The sequence below is a fragment of the Homo sapiens genome, chromosome 1, assembly GCF_000001405.40.
Source record: "Homo sapiens chromosome 1, GRCh38.p14 Primary Assembly".
Classification (NCBI taxonomy): domain Eukaryota; kingdom Metazoa; phylum Chordata; class Mammalia; order Primates; family Hominidae; genus Homo; species Homo sapiens.
Window position 1 is genome coordinate 7357824 of NC_000001.11, and position 17212 is coordinate 7375035.

The 17212-nt window shown below is 50.8% G+C and overlaps 1 protein-coding gene and 1 long non-coding RNA gene across 26 annotated transcripts in view, besides 1 other annotated feature; both read left to right on the forward strand.

Annotated features, from left to right (window-relative positions):
* The window catches only part of CAMTA1 (calmodulin binding transcription activator 1), a 984253-nt gene that overhangs the window by 572370 nt on the left and 394671 nt on the right, over positions 1–17212 (forward strand). The window contains exon 6 of one of the 25 annotated variants that reach the window (XM_017000780.3): positions 12258–12447. The exons of the other annotated variants lie outside the window; for them this stretch is intronic. Within the exon in view, the coding sequence (XP_016856269.1) occupies positions 12258–12416 (159 nt within the window). The 3' untranslated portion in view covers positions 12417–12447. Of the gene's footprint in view, positions 1–12257; positions 12448–17212 lie in introns of those variants that run through there. 25 annotated transcript variants of the gene reach the window in all.
* On the forward strand, positions 6571–12447 carry CAMTA1-IT1 (CAMTA1 intronic transcript 1). The gene has a single exon (XR_010947450.1). It is a non-coding gene; the product is annotated as a CAMTA1 intronic transcript 1 (long non-coding RNA).
* Positions 15639–16139: an enhancer, noted in NCBI's record as "H3K4me1 hESC enhancer chr1:7433523-7434023 (GRCh37/hg19 assembly coordinates)". NCBI's record gives its function as "activates a minimal SCP1, AML or CMV promoter by ChIP-STARR-seq in naive and primed H9 embryonic stem cells {active_cell/tissue: H9 hESC(naive and primed)}" and the evidence as "EXISTENCE:reporter gene assay evidence [ECO:0000049][PMID:30033119]".

Sequence of the window (17212 nt, forward strand, 5' to 3'; positions counted from 1 at the left end):
AGTGTCTGGGCAGAGTGCCGGGCTGCTGGAGCTTGGGGTCCCTGCTCCCAGGTCCCTGTCCCCACCTGGAATGAGATAGGAGACCAACAGCATCTTCCCTAGAAGGCTGATCTCCCTCAGGGACTCTTTGGATGGTGACAGACAGGGCCCTGTGTTTTCTGGACTATGCTAAAGGGCTGCTTGTGTGCTGGAGGGATCTGGGGGCTCCTTTTCAAAATGAAGGTCCAAGCCCAGATCTTTGTGGAGGGGGGGAATGGACACGGAGAACAGCCCATATTTCCCAGTTCCTTCAAGTTCTATTTGCAAATAAAGAGGTTAATTGGAAAGGTTGTAGTCACTGGTCACTGGGGCTACAAAAAGCCCCACGTCCTCCCTTTTTTCCTCTGGTACCGAGGAGGTGAGCTTTTCGGTTGCTTTTCTGAATCTGTAGCTGAAAACCTTGACTTGATAAATGAGATGTAACCTTGAAGTAAATTTGCCTATTATCTAGAAGTCATGGAAGCAGACACTAAAAATGGACTCCATTTATTTTACGAGAAGTCAGAGCATGTCAAGCTGCTCATAATTAGTAATAAACTCATCTCTGCTTGATGACTTTTTACACTGTTTGTATTTTTTATTGATGTAGTCACGCTTAGGTGGCCATCACTGGAGGCGGGCAGTGGTGGGGCTGCTTCCGGTGCGGAGCCTCCCTTCCTCCTCCAGCGTCCCTGCATGCCCCGCGCCACCCCTGCCCCGGGCAGCCCCGGCTGCTCCTTCATCACAGAGCCCAGACTCGCCTCGTCAGACTTGGCTACCTCTGTGAGCTTGCAGGAATAAATCTGAGGTGCTGAATATAGATATATTTTCCTTTCTCCTCCTTGGAGAGCAGTGATTTGCAGCCTTTTCTTGTGTGAGCCAGCCACCCTCATGTGACTTGATAGGCACATGGTCAGGGGAAGTTGCTGTTTCCAGACCTAATGAGGCCTTGGAGTCTTGTTAATGGGGCTCCTTGCTGTGGAATGTGTTGTTTATGGATGGACAGGGTGGCCCCGGCTTTGTCTCCTCAGCCCCATGCCAAGGAGTGGATCTCTGATGGGCAGCAAGGGTTGAGAAAGAAGCAGAGGAGCCTCCAGCCCTGGGGGCCCTGGAGCCTGGCAGCTTTGGCTATAAAATCTCACCCTTCAGCAGCCCATGTGGCACACTGGGAGGTAGGAGCCTCCCTTCTAGAAAGTTCTAGAGGCTTTCCCTGTCTGCAGAGCCTGGGATGGAGCAGGCTCACGTGCATAAGAGGGGCTCTAGGTGGGACAGGTGGAAGAGTCCTTTGTGGTCTCATTTGCTCTTGCTCTGGCGATAAAGCCCTGTTATCAGTCATGGGTACCAGGTGACCCTTTTCCAGTGAGTCTCTGGAGACCCAGGGGTCAGTGGGGAGCCAGCCTTTCCTCATCTCTGCCATGTGCAGGGACCATGGAGAAGGGCATGCTGAGTGGGTCCTAGGCTTCATAAAAGAGCTGGGCACCTGGACAGCACCATTCCCAGTACAGAGAAGGCAATCGCTGGCCTCACCAAACTGTGCTCTGGTGAGGCTGGAGAGCCCCTCCCCACCCCCTGGTTTTCTCTTGGCCTCTTTGGTGCCCTTTACATTGGGCCCTGTGAACAGGACGCAGAGGACTCAGGCAGCCCATCCTCCTAGCACCACAATCCTCCTCATCCCTCACCCCATTCGACGGCACCTTTTCTTGAAGCCTTTACTTAGAATTCAGCTCCCTCTTCCTGCTCTCCTTCTGCAGTTTGTGTTTCACTCTTTTGTAGCAGGAAATGTTCTGGAGCATTGTCATTTGCAGACATGAGGCAGTCTGCAGATGGGCCAGTGGACCATACCCAGATGCAACAGCTTCCTGAGAGCTGGCATGAGGGCTCCAGCCTGTGTTCTTGGAATACAAGCTCTGAAAGGGTACAGGGTGCGGTGTTTGCATGATAAGCAGGGAAGGTGAAACTTGTCCCTTCTGAAGTGGGGTCTGCGTGGGGTTTTTCAGAGCTAGTGGGTTGGTTTGCTAGGGCTGCCGTACCACAAACGGCGTGGCTTAAACATGGGAAGTGCATTGTCTCATGGTTCTGAAGGGTGAAAGTCTCAGATCAAGGTGTGGGCAGGGCTGGTTTCTTCTGAGGCTGGGAGGGAGGATCTGTCTTGAGCCTCTCCCCTGGCTGCTGGCATGTGCTTCAGTGTTCCTTGGCTTGTAGAAGCATCACCTTGTCCTCTGCCTTCATCTTCACGTGGCATTCTCCCTGTGTGTGTGTCCAACCCCCACCTTTTTATAAGTAATCAGTCATATTGGATTAGTGTCCACCCTAAGGCCTCATTTTAACTTGATTACCTCTTTAAAGACTGTCTCCAAACAAGGGTTCATTCTGAGATACTGGAGGTTAGGACTTAGCATGTAAATGTTAGGGGACTCAACCCATAACAGCTACAAAAAGGGAGGTGCATCCTGTTCACATGGGGGCTGGGACTCAGCCCTGGGGCAGGTTCTGGAGGTGATTCCCACCACAGCCATGCCAGGACAGGACCCCTACACTGATGCACTGGAGTGTAAATCCGAGGAGATGGTCTTTGCACTCTTGTGAATCAGGCTCAAATCTCAGGTCTACCATTCACCAGCAGGTGACCTTGATCAAGTGGCTTAACTTCTCCAAAGCCCAGTTCCCTGTTTGCAAAATAGGGTTAACACTACCTACCTTGGAGGATTGATTGATCTGGGATCAAATGAGGTCAAAGATGACAAGCCTCGGTGTGCCCACATTGTGCCAGGAGCATGGGAGGTGCTCATGCCTTTTGTGGCTCTCTCAGGACTGTGTAGTCCCTAGAGCTGTTTCTTTTCACCCTGTCCCTCTTAGCCTTGTCCCATTCTGGCCTGGCAGAGTGAGCAGGCTGTGCTGGCCTGCACAGGTGCAAGGATTTGCAGCAAGGGAAGGTGTGATGAGAACAAGAGGCCATCCCTCTCCTGCCACGCCTGCCACTTTCTCCACGCCGGAGTTGCCTGCACCAATTGGCAGTCGGGACACACAGCAGCTGGGATGAAGGGAGTTTACTGCTGAACTTAATAGGGTCGTTTTCTGCTTCACATAAATCTGTCTGTGCTCAGCTGAGGATCCTGGGTGGCTGGTAGAGCAGCCATTGTTAATGGACTTGTCCCTGGAAAACGGGGCTGTGGGTGTTAGAGTGTTGTTCTGGATGTTTCTTCCTTGGGAAGGGAGAGGATTTAGTAATAGAAGCTCAGTTTGGCTCTTCCGTTGCTGCCGGCCTGCCTGGCCAATGGGCTGCTTTGGGCAACAAAATAGGAGTGGCGCCATATTCATTTGGAATCTGTGATCCTGCATCATGGCAAGTCGTCATCCTTGGATGGAACAATAGGGTGGGTCCTCAGTTCTCTCTGAACATTCATTGAGTCGTTTGCTCAACAGATATCTGCTGAGCTGTGAGCTTGGGCCAGACCTGTCATCAATTCTGGTCAATGCGAACAGGACAGATTTGGTCCCCAGTGTCATGGAACTAAGAGTCAACCAGGGAATCTTCAGGGGAGAAGTTGGTGGCCAGGAAAAGCTGGGGAGGTGACCTTCTAGCTGACATTTGTTGGGCGAGTCAAAGCTGGCCAGACCAGAAGGGGAGGCTGGAGAAGCCTGGGACACCTCCTGGAGCCACATCCTCTTCCTTCAGGGACTTCTGAGATCCTCCCTGCTAGCTGTGTAGAAGGAACCAGAATATCCAGGTCCTGTGTACCCAGCCACCTGAGCAACTTTTCCACAGTGTGACTTTTTTAAAAGTCAAGATGAATCTCATTTCATGCAATAAATATTAACCTGGAAGGTTGGGGGTACATTAAACTTTTATGCATGGCAATAAATTTCTTATGCAAGAGAGGACTCACTACTAGTTAAAGAAATTTGGGGTGAAAACTGCCTTGGTGGGGATTATCCCGACTCATCTGTTTAGCAAGTAACGTAAACCGAGTTTCCTTCAAGCTGGATTCCTGTGTGTTAATCATCTTTGAGCCTCTGTTTCCTTTCCTCTCTTTCTGCACCTGTCATTTGATTCCTCAGGCCCTGGGGCTGCCTTCCTTCTGGGGTCCTCTTTGAAGAAGAATCCTTGATATCTGCCCTCTAGGAGTTTAATATTTCTTGAATGCATAGGCCATAATCCATACATATGTCTTAGAAAACCAACCCTGAAAATTTTCTCTATACTTGGACAGGGCCAGAAGGCCTAATTTCAAATGGTCACACCTACTTGCAAATGATCCAGTGTCTTCACAAGGGCTTGACACATGTGCCCTGCCTGCTTCATGTCCTGGTCATGTGACTTTATAACTAATGTTTATCCTGTCTTACTAGCATTTCTCTTATGATTGGTGGGCCTGGGTAGAATTGATGAACTTGAGCAGAGTTGGTGGACTTGGGTAGTGCTGGTAAACTTGGTTAGAGTTAGTGGACTTGGGTAGAGTTAGTGAACTTGGGTAGAACTGGTGGACTTGAATAGGATTATTGGACTTGGGTACAGGTGGTGGACTTGGATAGAGTTGGTGGACTTGGGTACAGTTAGTAGACTTGGGTAGAGTTAGTGGACTTGGAAAGAGTTAGTAGACTTCAATAGAGTTAGTGGACTTGAATAGAGTTAGTGGACTGGTGGAATTTAATAGAGTTGGTAGACTTGGGTAGAGGTGGTGGACATGGGTACCGATGGTGACCTTGGATAGAGTTGGTGGACTTGGGTAGTGGTGGTGGCTTTGGATAGAGTTGGTGGACTTTGGTAGGATTGGTGGACTTGAATAGAGTGAGTGAACTTGGGTAGAGGTGGTGAACTTGGGTAGGACTGGTGGACTCGAATAGAGTTGGTGGACTTGGGTAGAGGCAGTGAACTTGGATAGAGGTGGTGGGCTTGGGTAGGATTGGTGGACTTGAATAGAGTTAGTGGACTTGGGTAGAGTTAGTAGACTTGAATAGACTGAGTAGACTTCTGTGGAGGTGGTGAACTTCGGTAGGACTGGTAGACTTGAATAGAGTGAGTGGATTTGGGTAGAGGTGGTGGCTTTGGATAGACTTGGTGGACTTTGGTAGGGTTGATGGACTTGAATAGAGCGAGTGAACTTGGGTAGAGGTGGTGGACTTGGATAGACTTGATGCGTGTGGGGCAAAGACAATTAGTGGAACATAACCATTTATGCCAACCCTTCTAGCTCGCAGAGGTGCTCTGTAGAAGAAGAAAGACATTGCGGAAGTTTTTAAATAGGGACATGATACCAAGTTTGAAACGTGAGAGAGTGAGTAGGAACTGTGCCCTTGTCTGACCCAAGTGCTAAATCAACAGGAACATGGTGCCCACTTGTTACATCACTCATGGACATGAGCTGGGCTGTTTTTCTTGCATCCATTTCACTGGGTGATTAATATCTCTTTTAATGTTCAGCTGCAGTGAATTCTTAACAAATTATTTTGTAACACATTGAAATCACTTTGTAAGCTCTTTGTTAACACCTTTAAGAGGGCTCTAGCTATAAAATATTACTTTATCATCTTCCCGTTGCAGGACATTTGATGTAACACTCGTGTCTCGGAGGTTGTTAATAAATAATGGATGGAGGAATGATCTGGGGGTGACCTTTTGTAGAACATCATCTGTCAGCCGAACTTCACTTAATCCTTCCTCTTACGCTGTCTTCTGGCTTTCAGGATATAGCAGTTTGCAAATCAGGTGGTTTGGTTCCTGCCAGTGAGTGACATTTCACAGGATGGGTGACATCGGAACGATTGGCCTGTGTGGTTGCCTCTGGGACCCTCAGAAGGATTTAAGCCCCGTGATTAGCAGGTCTATTTTTGGCCACCAAGTGCAGGAGGGAGGGCATCTGGTGTGTGTCTCATCTTGGCTGTGATGAGGCTTGGCTGACCCCAGCAAGGACTCTCCATGAGTGGAGTGTGGCAGCGCTGTGGTTAGCTGGCCAGGTGAGGGGTGTTTCTCCAATAAGCATTTGTAGATCTGCCCTCTACTAAACCTGCTTCACCCTGGTAGCCCCCCTCAAAGGCATAGCAAGCCAGAGTATCCCAGGGACCGGGAACACTTGGGAACAGATGCCTGATAGAGAGTCACAGAACCATAAAGTCACGGGGGCTAAAGCCAGAGAAACCAGAGTCCAGCCCCATCAGCTTACAGAGAGGGACTGAGGTCAGAAAAGCCGAGAGTGCCTCTTCCAGGGTAGCTCATGGGTTAGAACAGATTTTTCACTTGACTCCTGAAACTGTGGTCCCTTTAGCCAGTGCCCTGCCTCACAGGATGACTCTAGAGTCACTTCATTCATTCATAAACAATGCTTATCGAGTGCTGACTCTATGCAGGTGGTGTGCAACATCCTGAGGACACTGCAGGCAGCGAGACCAGCGAGGTGTCTTAGTCCATGCATGGTGCCAGAACAACATACTTTAGACTGGGTAACTATAAACAACATACATTTAATGCTCACAGTTCTGGAGGCTGGGAAGTCCAAGATCAAGACACCAGCAGATTTAGTGTCTGGTAAGAGGCTGTTCCTGATAGATGGCACCTTCTATGTGTCCTCACATGGTGGAGGAGGGGGCACACAGGTTCCCTTGTGACTCTTTTTTTTTTTTTTCTGAGACAAGGACTTTCTTGCTCTGTCACCCAGGCTGAAGTGCAGAGGCACAATCCTAGCTCACTGCTTTCCTGGGTTTCTTGTACACAGATCAGACCTATGAGTGCATGGTGGTCATTACAGCTTCAACCTATGCTAGAAGGCAGGCGTGAAGGAGGCTGCAGCTGCAGATATGGGATGGTGGGAGGCTTCCCTGAGGAGGGGATGTCGAAGGTGAGAGGTAGGATGCGTGAGATGCTTTCTGGGCAGTGGGAGAGGGTATCCCAGTGTGCTGTGGGCTCTGGGGCTGCAGAGATGCGTGTCTGTGGAGTTTGGATAAGCCCCATAAAAACACTCCACACAGTGCTTCTAGAATCAGTCGGAGTCCATGGCACAAAGCAAGGGCTCAGTATATACTGAGTGAATGGATGAATGAATGAATGAGTGAATGAATGAATGAGCCACCTGTCAAACTGCTTTCTCAGATCAGTCCAGTCAGGGGAATGGCGGTGGCCATGGGCTTCTGTAGTGGATGTCCTTAGGCTCGGTGTGGCTGGTGATGAAGGACTGAGAGTCATCCCAGAGAGTGCAGAACACCTCCCATGACCTTCCCCAGAGTCCAAGCCCAGGGAGCAGTTGTGACATCCAGCCAAGCTCACACTTGGCCTGGAGGCCGGACCCCATGAGGACCAACCTGTGGTCTTCAGAGGTTGTCGGGAGGGAGGCCCCAGTGGACGCTGAATTCCAGCCTCTGTCTGGAGGCCTTTGAGCAGCAAGCACCTGGTGGCTGCGCTGTGGATGGGCTTGATGGTCTGAACCCATAACACCCATTCAGGCATCAGAAAATCACCCTCGAATTATCTCTAGAGTTTTATTTCCTAGAATCCTGAATAGATCACATTTTATTGTTGAATACTGAAATCTCATTACTTTAGGAAGTGCTATTACTGGGCTATTACTGGAAAGGAATTCCTCTCTCCTGTTCTGATTAAAACCTCCTGTTCATATTTAAAAAATAATTTCAGACCTTTTTTTTTAATGCTTCTAAAAGTATAAACGTGCAGCCAAGCGTCTTCTTTCCCTAGGCCCCGCGCCTGGGTGTGGACTTCCCTGGGCCTGCTGGTGGAGAGTGAGCGCAGCTCTGCAGAAGTAGAGACACCGGAGTCTCCTCCTGGACCCCCTTCTTGGAGAATGATCCCTTTCTTTTCCTCTGGCTCAGTTGCTTCCTAAGATTCTAATGACAGTTCTGGCCAAAACAGGCAGCCCCCGTTACCACTGGTTTGAGACTTCAGCTCTGGCTTTTTTCACCAGGAACTGATTCTGGGATCTTGGGGCATAGGGTCCAAGATATGGCTTCTCTGCTGACTGATGGAGTCAGGGGAGCTGGTTCCACCCAGAGCAATACGTGGGGATGGGTGGAAAGCACTCCTCCGGGCAGCTCCTGCTCCTCTCTGGAGGCTGCTCCCTCCGCGCACAGGGTCATCAGCTTCCTGCGTCTGAATCCCCAACCTGGGGGTGTCCTCTATGGCCCTCTGGGCTCACTTGGCACTATCACATGCCGAGCCCACTGTGTCATGAATATTACCTGGTGACTTGCTCCTTTCTCCTCCTCTGGGACTCTGCCCGTTCTCTGTGACCCCAATGTACTTGGCACAGGGACTGGCATGGGGCACTCAGAAAATATTTGTCAAATGGATGGTGGAATTCACCAGCACCCAGAAAGCAGTGTGATTTGGGGAGTTTTATCAGCGAGTGGCCATGTGACTCCCAGGGGCAGAGGGGATGTCTTCAGCACATCTCCGTCCCTTTGCCAATCACACCCTGCTCAGTAGAGCCCACCTTGCCTGTCCTCCTCATTGCCTGCCCTGTTCTTGCCTGGCCGCACTGAGCTCCACATGAGGTATATTCCACATGGACACAGGGGAGGTGACCCCCTTCTCTCCAGGGCTGCTCCTCCAAGGCCGCGGGTTGCCTTGGAGAAAGCTCAGAATAGCTGTGTGGCCCCATGCTGATGCTGGGTGAGTGTGCATGTGGCTAGAATTCTTTTCTGGACTCTTGGCAAATGGAATTATTTACAACCACCAGGGCCAATATTTCCCTGCTCCGCAGATGATTTGCAGCAGATGAAGTAGATGCTCTCTCCTTGCAGAGAGCTAATGATAACATTGAGCTCTTCCCACCCCACTGATGTGTCTTTGATGGCACAGCTGTGGATATTTTTATTTGCCCAGTCAAGTCGGCTCCTCGGTGCACATGTCTGAAGTGAAGGCCCTTGGGCTGCAAGCTGCAGAGGGCACTGGCGCCAGCCTTGTGCGTTGACAGGAGACTGCAGGAACCCGCCAGCTTGGTTGCTGGCTTCCTGAGCTCTGTCTGTGGGTTCCCTCCCTGGAATGGACAAGGGGGAGCAGCCGATTTCTGATACAGCTCATCTGTCTGGGTCACTGGTTCCAGAAGTTAATTTTGGATGGAACTTCACAGGCACCTGGCGTCTGGTTATGCAAAACCTGACCTTTGGCTTCACTCTGGGGCCTTCCCTTCTCCTCACCCCAGGGCTCCTGCTGCCTCCCTCTCTGTGCCATTCTTTCCTCTTAAAAAAAAATATCCTGCTGACAGGAGCTTTCTAACTTGTCATTTTGGAGATCATCAACAAATTCTATAGAGAGGTGACCTCCATTATGAGAAAGAGACGGGGAGTTGGCTGGGACCCAAGCCAAGGAGCTGGAGCCTCTTTTGACTGGCAAGGTGACATTGAGTGTCATATCAGCATTCATGGCCAGCTCTCTTCTCCTCAGAGAGTAATTATTTCTTTCAGAGCGAAAGGTCCAATTTGCTGTAAAGAACAGAGCCCCAGGTAAAACGAAAGAGCTATAAGCTCCCCTGACATAAAGGAGACCAGACTGCCCCCGTCCCCAGCCCTGCTCACTCCACATCATAATGGCCATTTGGCCAGATTTATTATGTTTACTTGTACTTCCTTCCTGTCATAACACATTAGGGTGGTTGCACATTGCATGGGTGAGGCCGGCTCAGCAGGTGGAGCTGAACACCTTGCAGCTGACACTGGCTCTTGTATCCTTGGCCAGCACCTGGCTCTGGGCAGGGATTGAGATGGCACCTTTGGAGAAACACTGGGAGAGCTGATGCCTGGCATTTGGGGCCAAGCTGAGCTCTGGGCCCTCTGCACTCTCCTGGTATTTCCTCTACTCCTGGGACATTACAAGAATAAGTGGCCTAAGTCTGTGGCCTTGGATGCCAATACCACGATAGATGTCATTCACTGAGTGCTCACCCTGACCCAGATCATGAGACACTGGGCACTGATGGTTTTATTTAGCACAGGCCCTGGGCACTCATGGTTTCACTGGGCACAGGCCCTGGGCACTCATGGTTTCACTGGGCACAGGCCCTGGGCACTCATGGTTTCGTTGGGCACAGACACTGGGCACTCATGGTTTCGTTGGGCACAGACACTGGGCACTTATGGTTTCACTGGGTGCAGGCACTGGGCATGGATGGTTTCATTGGGTGCATGCCCTGAGCACTCATGGTTTCACTGGGCACAGGCCCTGGGCACTCATGGTTTCACTGGGTGCAGGCCCTGGGCACTCATGGTTTCATTGGGCGCAGACATTGGGCACTCATGGTTTCACTGGGCGCAGGCACTGGGCACTTATGGTTTCATTGGGTGCAGGCGCTGGGCATGGATGGTTTCATTGGGTGCAGGCCCTGGGCATGGATGGTTTCATTGGGCACAGACACTGGGCACTCATGGTTTCATTGGGTGCAGGCACTGGGCATGGATGGTTTCATTGGGTGTATGCCCTGGGCACTCATGGTTTCACTGGGCACAGGCCCTGGGCACTCATGGTTTCATTGGGCGCAGACACTGGGCACTTATTGTTTCATTGGGTGCAGACACTGGGCATGGATGGTTTCATTGGGTGCAGGCCCTGGGCACTCATGCTTTCATTGGGCGCAGGCACTGGGCACTCATGGTTTCATTGGGCGCAGGCACTGGGCACTCATGGTTTCACTGGGTGCAGATACCTAGCACACAAAGCAGTCCTATTTGCCCATCTATGGCTGAGCAGAGTGAGCTCACAGTCAGTGACCCCTTCCCAGGCCCCACCCCCACTAGCACAGGAGTTCCCGCTGTGTGCACCCATGGCGTGGCTCTGGGGTGGCTCTGGGTGGCCCTCATCACTTGGACTGCCTTTTCTTCTTTTCTCGTCTGCCCTCCCCTAAGCTGTAGCTCCATTTCTGTCTTGCACGCTGCTGCAGCTTCAGCACCCACCGTGGTACCTGGCTCGCTGTGGTGTTCCGCACATGTTGTTAAATTTAAATTGTTAAATGATTGGATGAGCCTGACGTGAGATGAGGACCTGCCCAGAGTCATCCAGCTGCTCATCCACAGAGCCTGGGCTGTCCTGCCACGAAGCCCTTGCCAGTCACTATGCCTTCTTGACTTCCCATGGCACCATGACTGTCACACTGCACTGTGGCACAGTGTACCTCCACCTTCCTCCTTCTGCTTCTGTTTTTGGGAGTTCAGTCAAAGCTGACATGTTGCCCAAGACTAGAGGGGAGAGTTTGGAGGCCGGAGAGGATGGCCAGGTCCTGGGTGTGGAGGTTGCTTCCTGCCCCTCCTCCTCCCCCACCACAGGGGCCTGGAGAAGGTAGGGTGGTGTCCTCAGTGAGGATGGTCTGAAGGGGGCCCAGGAGCAGAGGGAGGAGTCATGGTTGGTTGGAAATTAGGACAACCAATGCAGGAAGCTCTCTGTCACAGCTTGCCCATTCTGTAGGTGAGATCCGTGAAGGTCAGGAAGTTGAATAACCTACCTAAGTTTATCTGGCTACTTAGGGGAAGAACAGAGTTCAGACTTGAACTTGAGGTGCCCTAATGAGTGTAAGAGTTTGAGGGGGTCATTCACAAGCATACCCTCGCTTCTGACACTAAGTGTAAATTCAGGGCAGGACCACTCTGTGGTTCCATAATTCACTGAAGGACTCACAGAACTTGCTGAAATCTGTTATGCGTGTGGTTAAGGCTTATCAGAGTGAAAGGACACAGATTAAAATCAGCTGAGGGAAGAGACACATGGGGTAGGGTGCAGACAGGTTCTGGGTGGGGATTCCAGCCATCCTCTATGGGTAAGTTGTGGGACCACTAGCGTCTCCCCACAGCCTGTGTGTCGGTGTCGCCAACCAGGAAGCTCGCTGGGCCTTGGTGCCCAGTCTTTACTGGGGCTCACACATAGACCTGGTTAGCTACCCACATGTCTTCAGCCTCCAGCCCTGCCTAGGACAAGCTGAGGTCATGGGACCCCAAACACACCCCCTTATCACATTGTTAGACTCTCGAGCATGGCCCAAAGCTCCAAAGACACTCTCACCTGATCAGTCCCCTCCTAGGAGCCCAGGGCACAGCCCAGACCTCTCTGTGGGTAAGGTTAATTCTTGATTGAATAGAGTACTATGTAGGAGAGTGTCTAGGAACTAAATTCGGGCTTATTCCCTGATAGACTCTTCTCACCCCGGGTCAAGGTACTTCAGGCCCTTGCCATGGCCCACTGGTGACGTGGGTCCCTGCTGCGGCGTTCAGGCCCCTTGCTTACATCACGGCACTTCTCTCTTTTCCAGACTGACAGCAGCAATCACAGTCACATTCCACAGCCTCTCCAGCACCCAGCCAGCTCTCCGCGGGGGCAGCAGGGACTGGTCCACCCAACAACAGCAGCCATGTCCTCACCTCTTGCTACAGCAGCAACTTTATTTGATTTGATGTATATGAAGAAATAAAACTCAGAAGTCAATTGACTTAAACATGGAACAATGCAGCTTGGTTATTATGGTGTATGCTAAATTTTAATGGCATTTAGAAAGCGTTTTGTGTGGTAGAAAATAGAAGCAAACCCATCAAACCCCAACTATGCTCTGTGTTTTATAGTGCAGAACGTTTTTCTGCTACAATCCAAAGACTTTAAAATGTAATAAGGTACATTTGAACCCAAGGGTTTTAAAATCGATGTAAGAAACGTGCACATCCAGAAATGGAGTAAAATAATCCATTACTGTCCGGGTCGTATTCGAGGGAAGACACACATTCCTGGAAAGGCTTTTAACATTTCATGTTCCACAGACTCTTATTTATTGACACGTATTAGTGTTCAAGGATTAATATATCGCTAAGTGAGAAAGAAAAGTGTGGTTGGGAGGGGTTTTGATAGTCGGCGTTCTTGGGTTTCTTGCTATTTTTGAATGCATTTACTCAGATATATTTAAAATCACATGCCACATAAATGGATATATCAATTGAGAAATAAGGCAAATTTTCCATTCTTACATTTCATTAAAAACACATTCCGACTGTCACATGTCTATATCCCCCTTGTCCTTCCCACCAAACATGATTTTTCAGAGCCCGCCATTATTGCCCTGGGTCCTGGGATATGGCACTTTCTTTTTCTTTCTTTCTTTTTTTTTTTTTTTGAGACGGAGTCTCACTCTGTCGCCCAGGCTGGAGTGCAGTGGCGCGATCTCGGCTCACTGCAAGCTCCACCTCCCAGGTTCACACCATTCTCCTGCCTCAGCCTCCAGAGTAGCTGGGATTACAGGTGCCCACTACCACGCGCAGGTAATTTTTTGTATTTTTAGTAGAGACAGGGTTTCACCGTGTTATCCAGGTTGGTCTCGATCTCCTGACCTTGTGATCCTCCTGCCTCGGCCTCCCAAAATGTTGGGATTACAGGCGTGAGCCACCGTGCCTGGCCTGGATGTGGCACTTTCTAATGCTCTGGGTTTTGTTTGTTTGTTTGTTTGTTTGTTTGTTTGTTTCGAGATGGAGTCCTGCTTTGTCACCCAGGCTGGAGTGCAGTGGCGTATCTCGGCTCACTGCAACCTCCACCTCCTGGGTTCAAGTGATTATCTTGCCTCAGCCTCCTGAGTAGCTGGGATTACAGGCGCCTGCCACCCCGCCTGGCTAATTTTTTTTGCATTTTTAGTAGAGATGGGGTTTCATCATGTTGGCCAGGCTGATCTCAAACTCCTGACCTCAGGTGATCTGCCCGCCTCGGCCTCCCAAAGTGCCGGGATTACAGGCATGAGCCACCATGCCCAGCCACACTCCATGTTTTCTATCGCCCTGTCTGTATTTCAGAGTTTCCTGGCCGTCCTCATCAAAGGTGCTCAGGAGTTTCTATGGCTCAACACAGTGTGAGAGTTCTCAGGAATGGCCCGGCCTCTGTGGGTGGTGCAGCAGCTGCCTGCAGAAATCTGCCCACATCCCCGACATTCATTTGACAGATGAACCCGTTTCCATGATCTTCAGTTTAGGGCTGAAGAAATCCTGAAATCTTCTGGTTCAGTGGTTCTCCACTGAGGATGATTTTGTCCCCCCACTCCAGGGACATTTTTGGTTACCATGACTAGGAAGTAGAGGGTGGCCCTCTGGGCATCTGATGACATCTGAGATCTAGGAAGGTTCTGCATCATCTCAGATCACACAACTGGCCAGTGGCTGAGATGGAGCAAAACTCCTGGAGTCCAGACCCAGCCTGGGGAAGTCCTGGGCTGAGCGTGCACCTCTCTTCTTTACTGTTGCACCCCTGCCCCACCCGGGCTCTGACCTCTCCCTGAAGCTTCTACGCCAGTAGTGTGGCTTGGGCTCACAGTGTCAAGAACAGCCAGGTCTTCCTGGGTTGAGGCTGCCAGGCTTAGCCGTCCTCCTATCCTAAATCCCTCCCCAACCTCCCTTAATCTCCAGCCACCGCCAGAGCCCATCCTTGCCCTTCAGAAGCTGCTCTCCTTCGTGCAATATGGGTGAGGCCATTGCAGGTCCTTTAGGGGACAGCACAGACCTGCTTGATGCCAATAAGCACAAATCTAGGTAAGACTGAAAATGTTGGTGAGATTTTTGTGAGTATCCTTGCTGTATGTGTTTAGTTTTTTGTTTGTTGTTTAGTTAAACTAGCATGCAGTTTCTTTTTCAAAAGCTCAAAAGTATCCACATCCTACCCCACCGTCTAGTCGAGCTGCACGTCTTTCCTGGGCTGGGTCTGTTGCAGGCTGATCACTGAGCAGCTGCGGACGTAGTGGGCCCGTGATTGGGCATCTCGCGTTATTACGTAGCCTTGCCCGTGAACACGTCTCTGTGTTTCTCAATCAACTTCATCACCGTCAGTGTTAATAATTACAATCGCCACAGTGATGGAGCCCCGTGCCAGCGCTGCCATGAGTGCTTTGTGTGTAGGAGCTAATTTGATACCCACAGCAGCCTTGGAGCCCCATGTGCTCTTATTACCCTGTCGCACAGAAGTGATGCACAGAGAGATGAGACACGTGGCTTCCGGTTGCAGAGCTAGTCGGCAATAGGACCAGGATCTGAACCCAAAACAGCCATCTAGAGCCGCCCGCATAGCCACCATCCTACAATGCTTCTCCCTTTCAATGGCTGCACCCTGGTGGAGCAAAGGGGCCAGGCCCCATTGAAGTGGCCCTGGGCCAACCAGGTAGTGCTTCCACAGTGCCTTTACTCAGAGCTCTGTCACCAACCTGGTGTCACCGTAGAAGCTCCACAGGTTCTTGCCAGCTCCTTCCACCCCAACATGTAGCCTGCAGGAGGCATGGGAACCAGGGGAAGAAATGAATTGGTGATTCTAGTGCAGAGTCTGTCAATCTTGGCTCTATCAGCCATGGCACTGGGTCATTCTTGGTTGTGGGGGGCTGTCCTGTGCATTGTAGGACATGCAGCAGCATCCTTGGCCTCCACCTCCTGGAGTATTTCTACCCAGTAGTACCCCGTCTCTGCCAGTCGTGACTGCTAAGCAAGTCTCCAGACTTTGCTAAATGTCGCTGGAGCTGCCAAAGCTCCAGCATAAGCAAGGGTTTTGCTAAAGCCCAGGATTTGATTCGCTGTGGATTTCAGTTCCCCCAGCCCCAGGGAGCCCCGAGTTGGCTGCGACTGAATGAAGTGAGACGTGGGCCTAGGCACTGTGCGCAGATGGGTGGGAGTGCTCCACCTCAGTCCACCGCCTCTCCCCTACTCGGGGGAAGCCTTGTAGGGTGGTGGCTACGTGGCCTCCACACTGCAGCGGGGGAAGGTTGCACTCAGACTCACTCTGAGTCCCACAGAGCAGAGGAGCCAAGAGACAACAGGAAACCCAAAACAATGATCACCTGCTTCCAGACAACTTTGCTTTTTTGCCTTGTGGGGAAACTTATAAATTATTTGGAGAGCAATATTAGTCTTTTTGCTTCTGAAAAAGGTTCTGCATCTTTGATAGAGCCTGGTTTTGAAACATAACTCACAGAGTTGTACAAATACCCCATCAATAGTGCAGTGGCTCATTTCATTGTTCTCAGTGCATGGAATCTTCATTATTTGCACTGTTGATAAAAGGCAGCATTTTCAGCAGATCTGCACTACTCCATTTAGCTGAGAACAATGATTTATTCCTCCCTCACTATTGGACATCCTCAATTTCCTTGGGTAATAAAGAATGCTCCCATGGATGGGATGAACAGGAGCGACCGGCTGCTCTGAGCCTGGCAAAGTCAGGAAGAGCAAGAAGGATCCTGACTGGTGGCTCCTGCCCAGGGAGAAGGACCCAGAGCCTGCCTCCCCGCCTCACTGGCAACCACAGCCTGTGGTGGAAGTCCGGAGTTAGTACACGTCATTGACAAATTGCCCAGGAAGCAGCCGGGCCCCTGATGGAAAACTGCCCATCTCAGCACAGACAGTGCGCCTGGTCCCAAACGCTCCTTTCTACGTGGAGGTGAAATTCGAATAGAGCCCTTATTCAATACCACAACTCAGGGATGGGCAAAGTTGTGAGCATGTATGCATGCCTGCTCTTGTTTTCTCCGTATTAGAAAATTCACAGACTGCTGAGAGAGGGAAAATAAGAGTAATAGCTTCAAACTGGAAATGGAAGAACTTTCACATTCAACACAAAAGGGAATTGTTGCAATCCTAGGGCAAACGAGAAAAGAGCCCAGCCTGCTGCTTAGCAGAGGACGCAGGCATGGGGAGAGGAGGAGGGGCCGCCAACAATGACAAAAAATTCTGCCTAGCAGTTTGCTCCATTGCAGCCTTGCCTGGGTGGAAGGGAAGAAGATTGGAGACTTCCAGCACCTTGGAACAGATTAATGGCTCTAGAGATGCCACACCTATTGGTGGATGGCTTCTAGCCTTACCTTTACAAGGAGCCAAATATAAGGAAGCAGGCGTGCGGCACCCCTGAGCAATGGGCATGCACGCTCACCAGATACCAGGACACTGGAGAGTTGTGTGCGTGGAAGTGAGGGCTCAAGGAACTCTCTGGGCTTCTTACCAGCCTCTAGGCCACTCACTATTCATGCTGTTATTACCCCCACGTTGCAAGGGAATGAAGCTCAGAGATGAGACACGTGGCTTCTGGTCGCAGAGCTAGTCGGCAGCGGGACCAGGATCTGAAGCCAAAACAACCATCTAGAGCTGCCCATATAGCCTTCACCCTACAATGCTTCTCGCTTTCAATGGCTGCACCCTGGTAGAGCAGTGGGGCTGGGTCCTGTTAAAGTAGCCCTGGGCTAACCTGGTGGATGCGATAACCAGC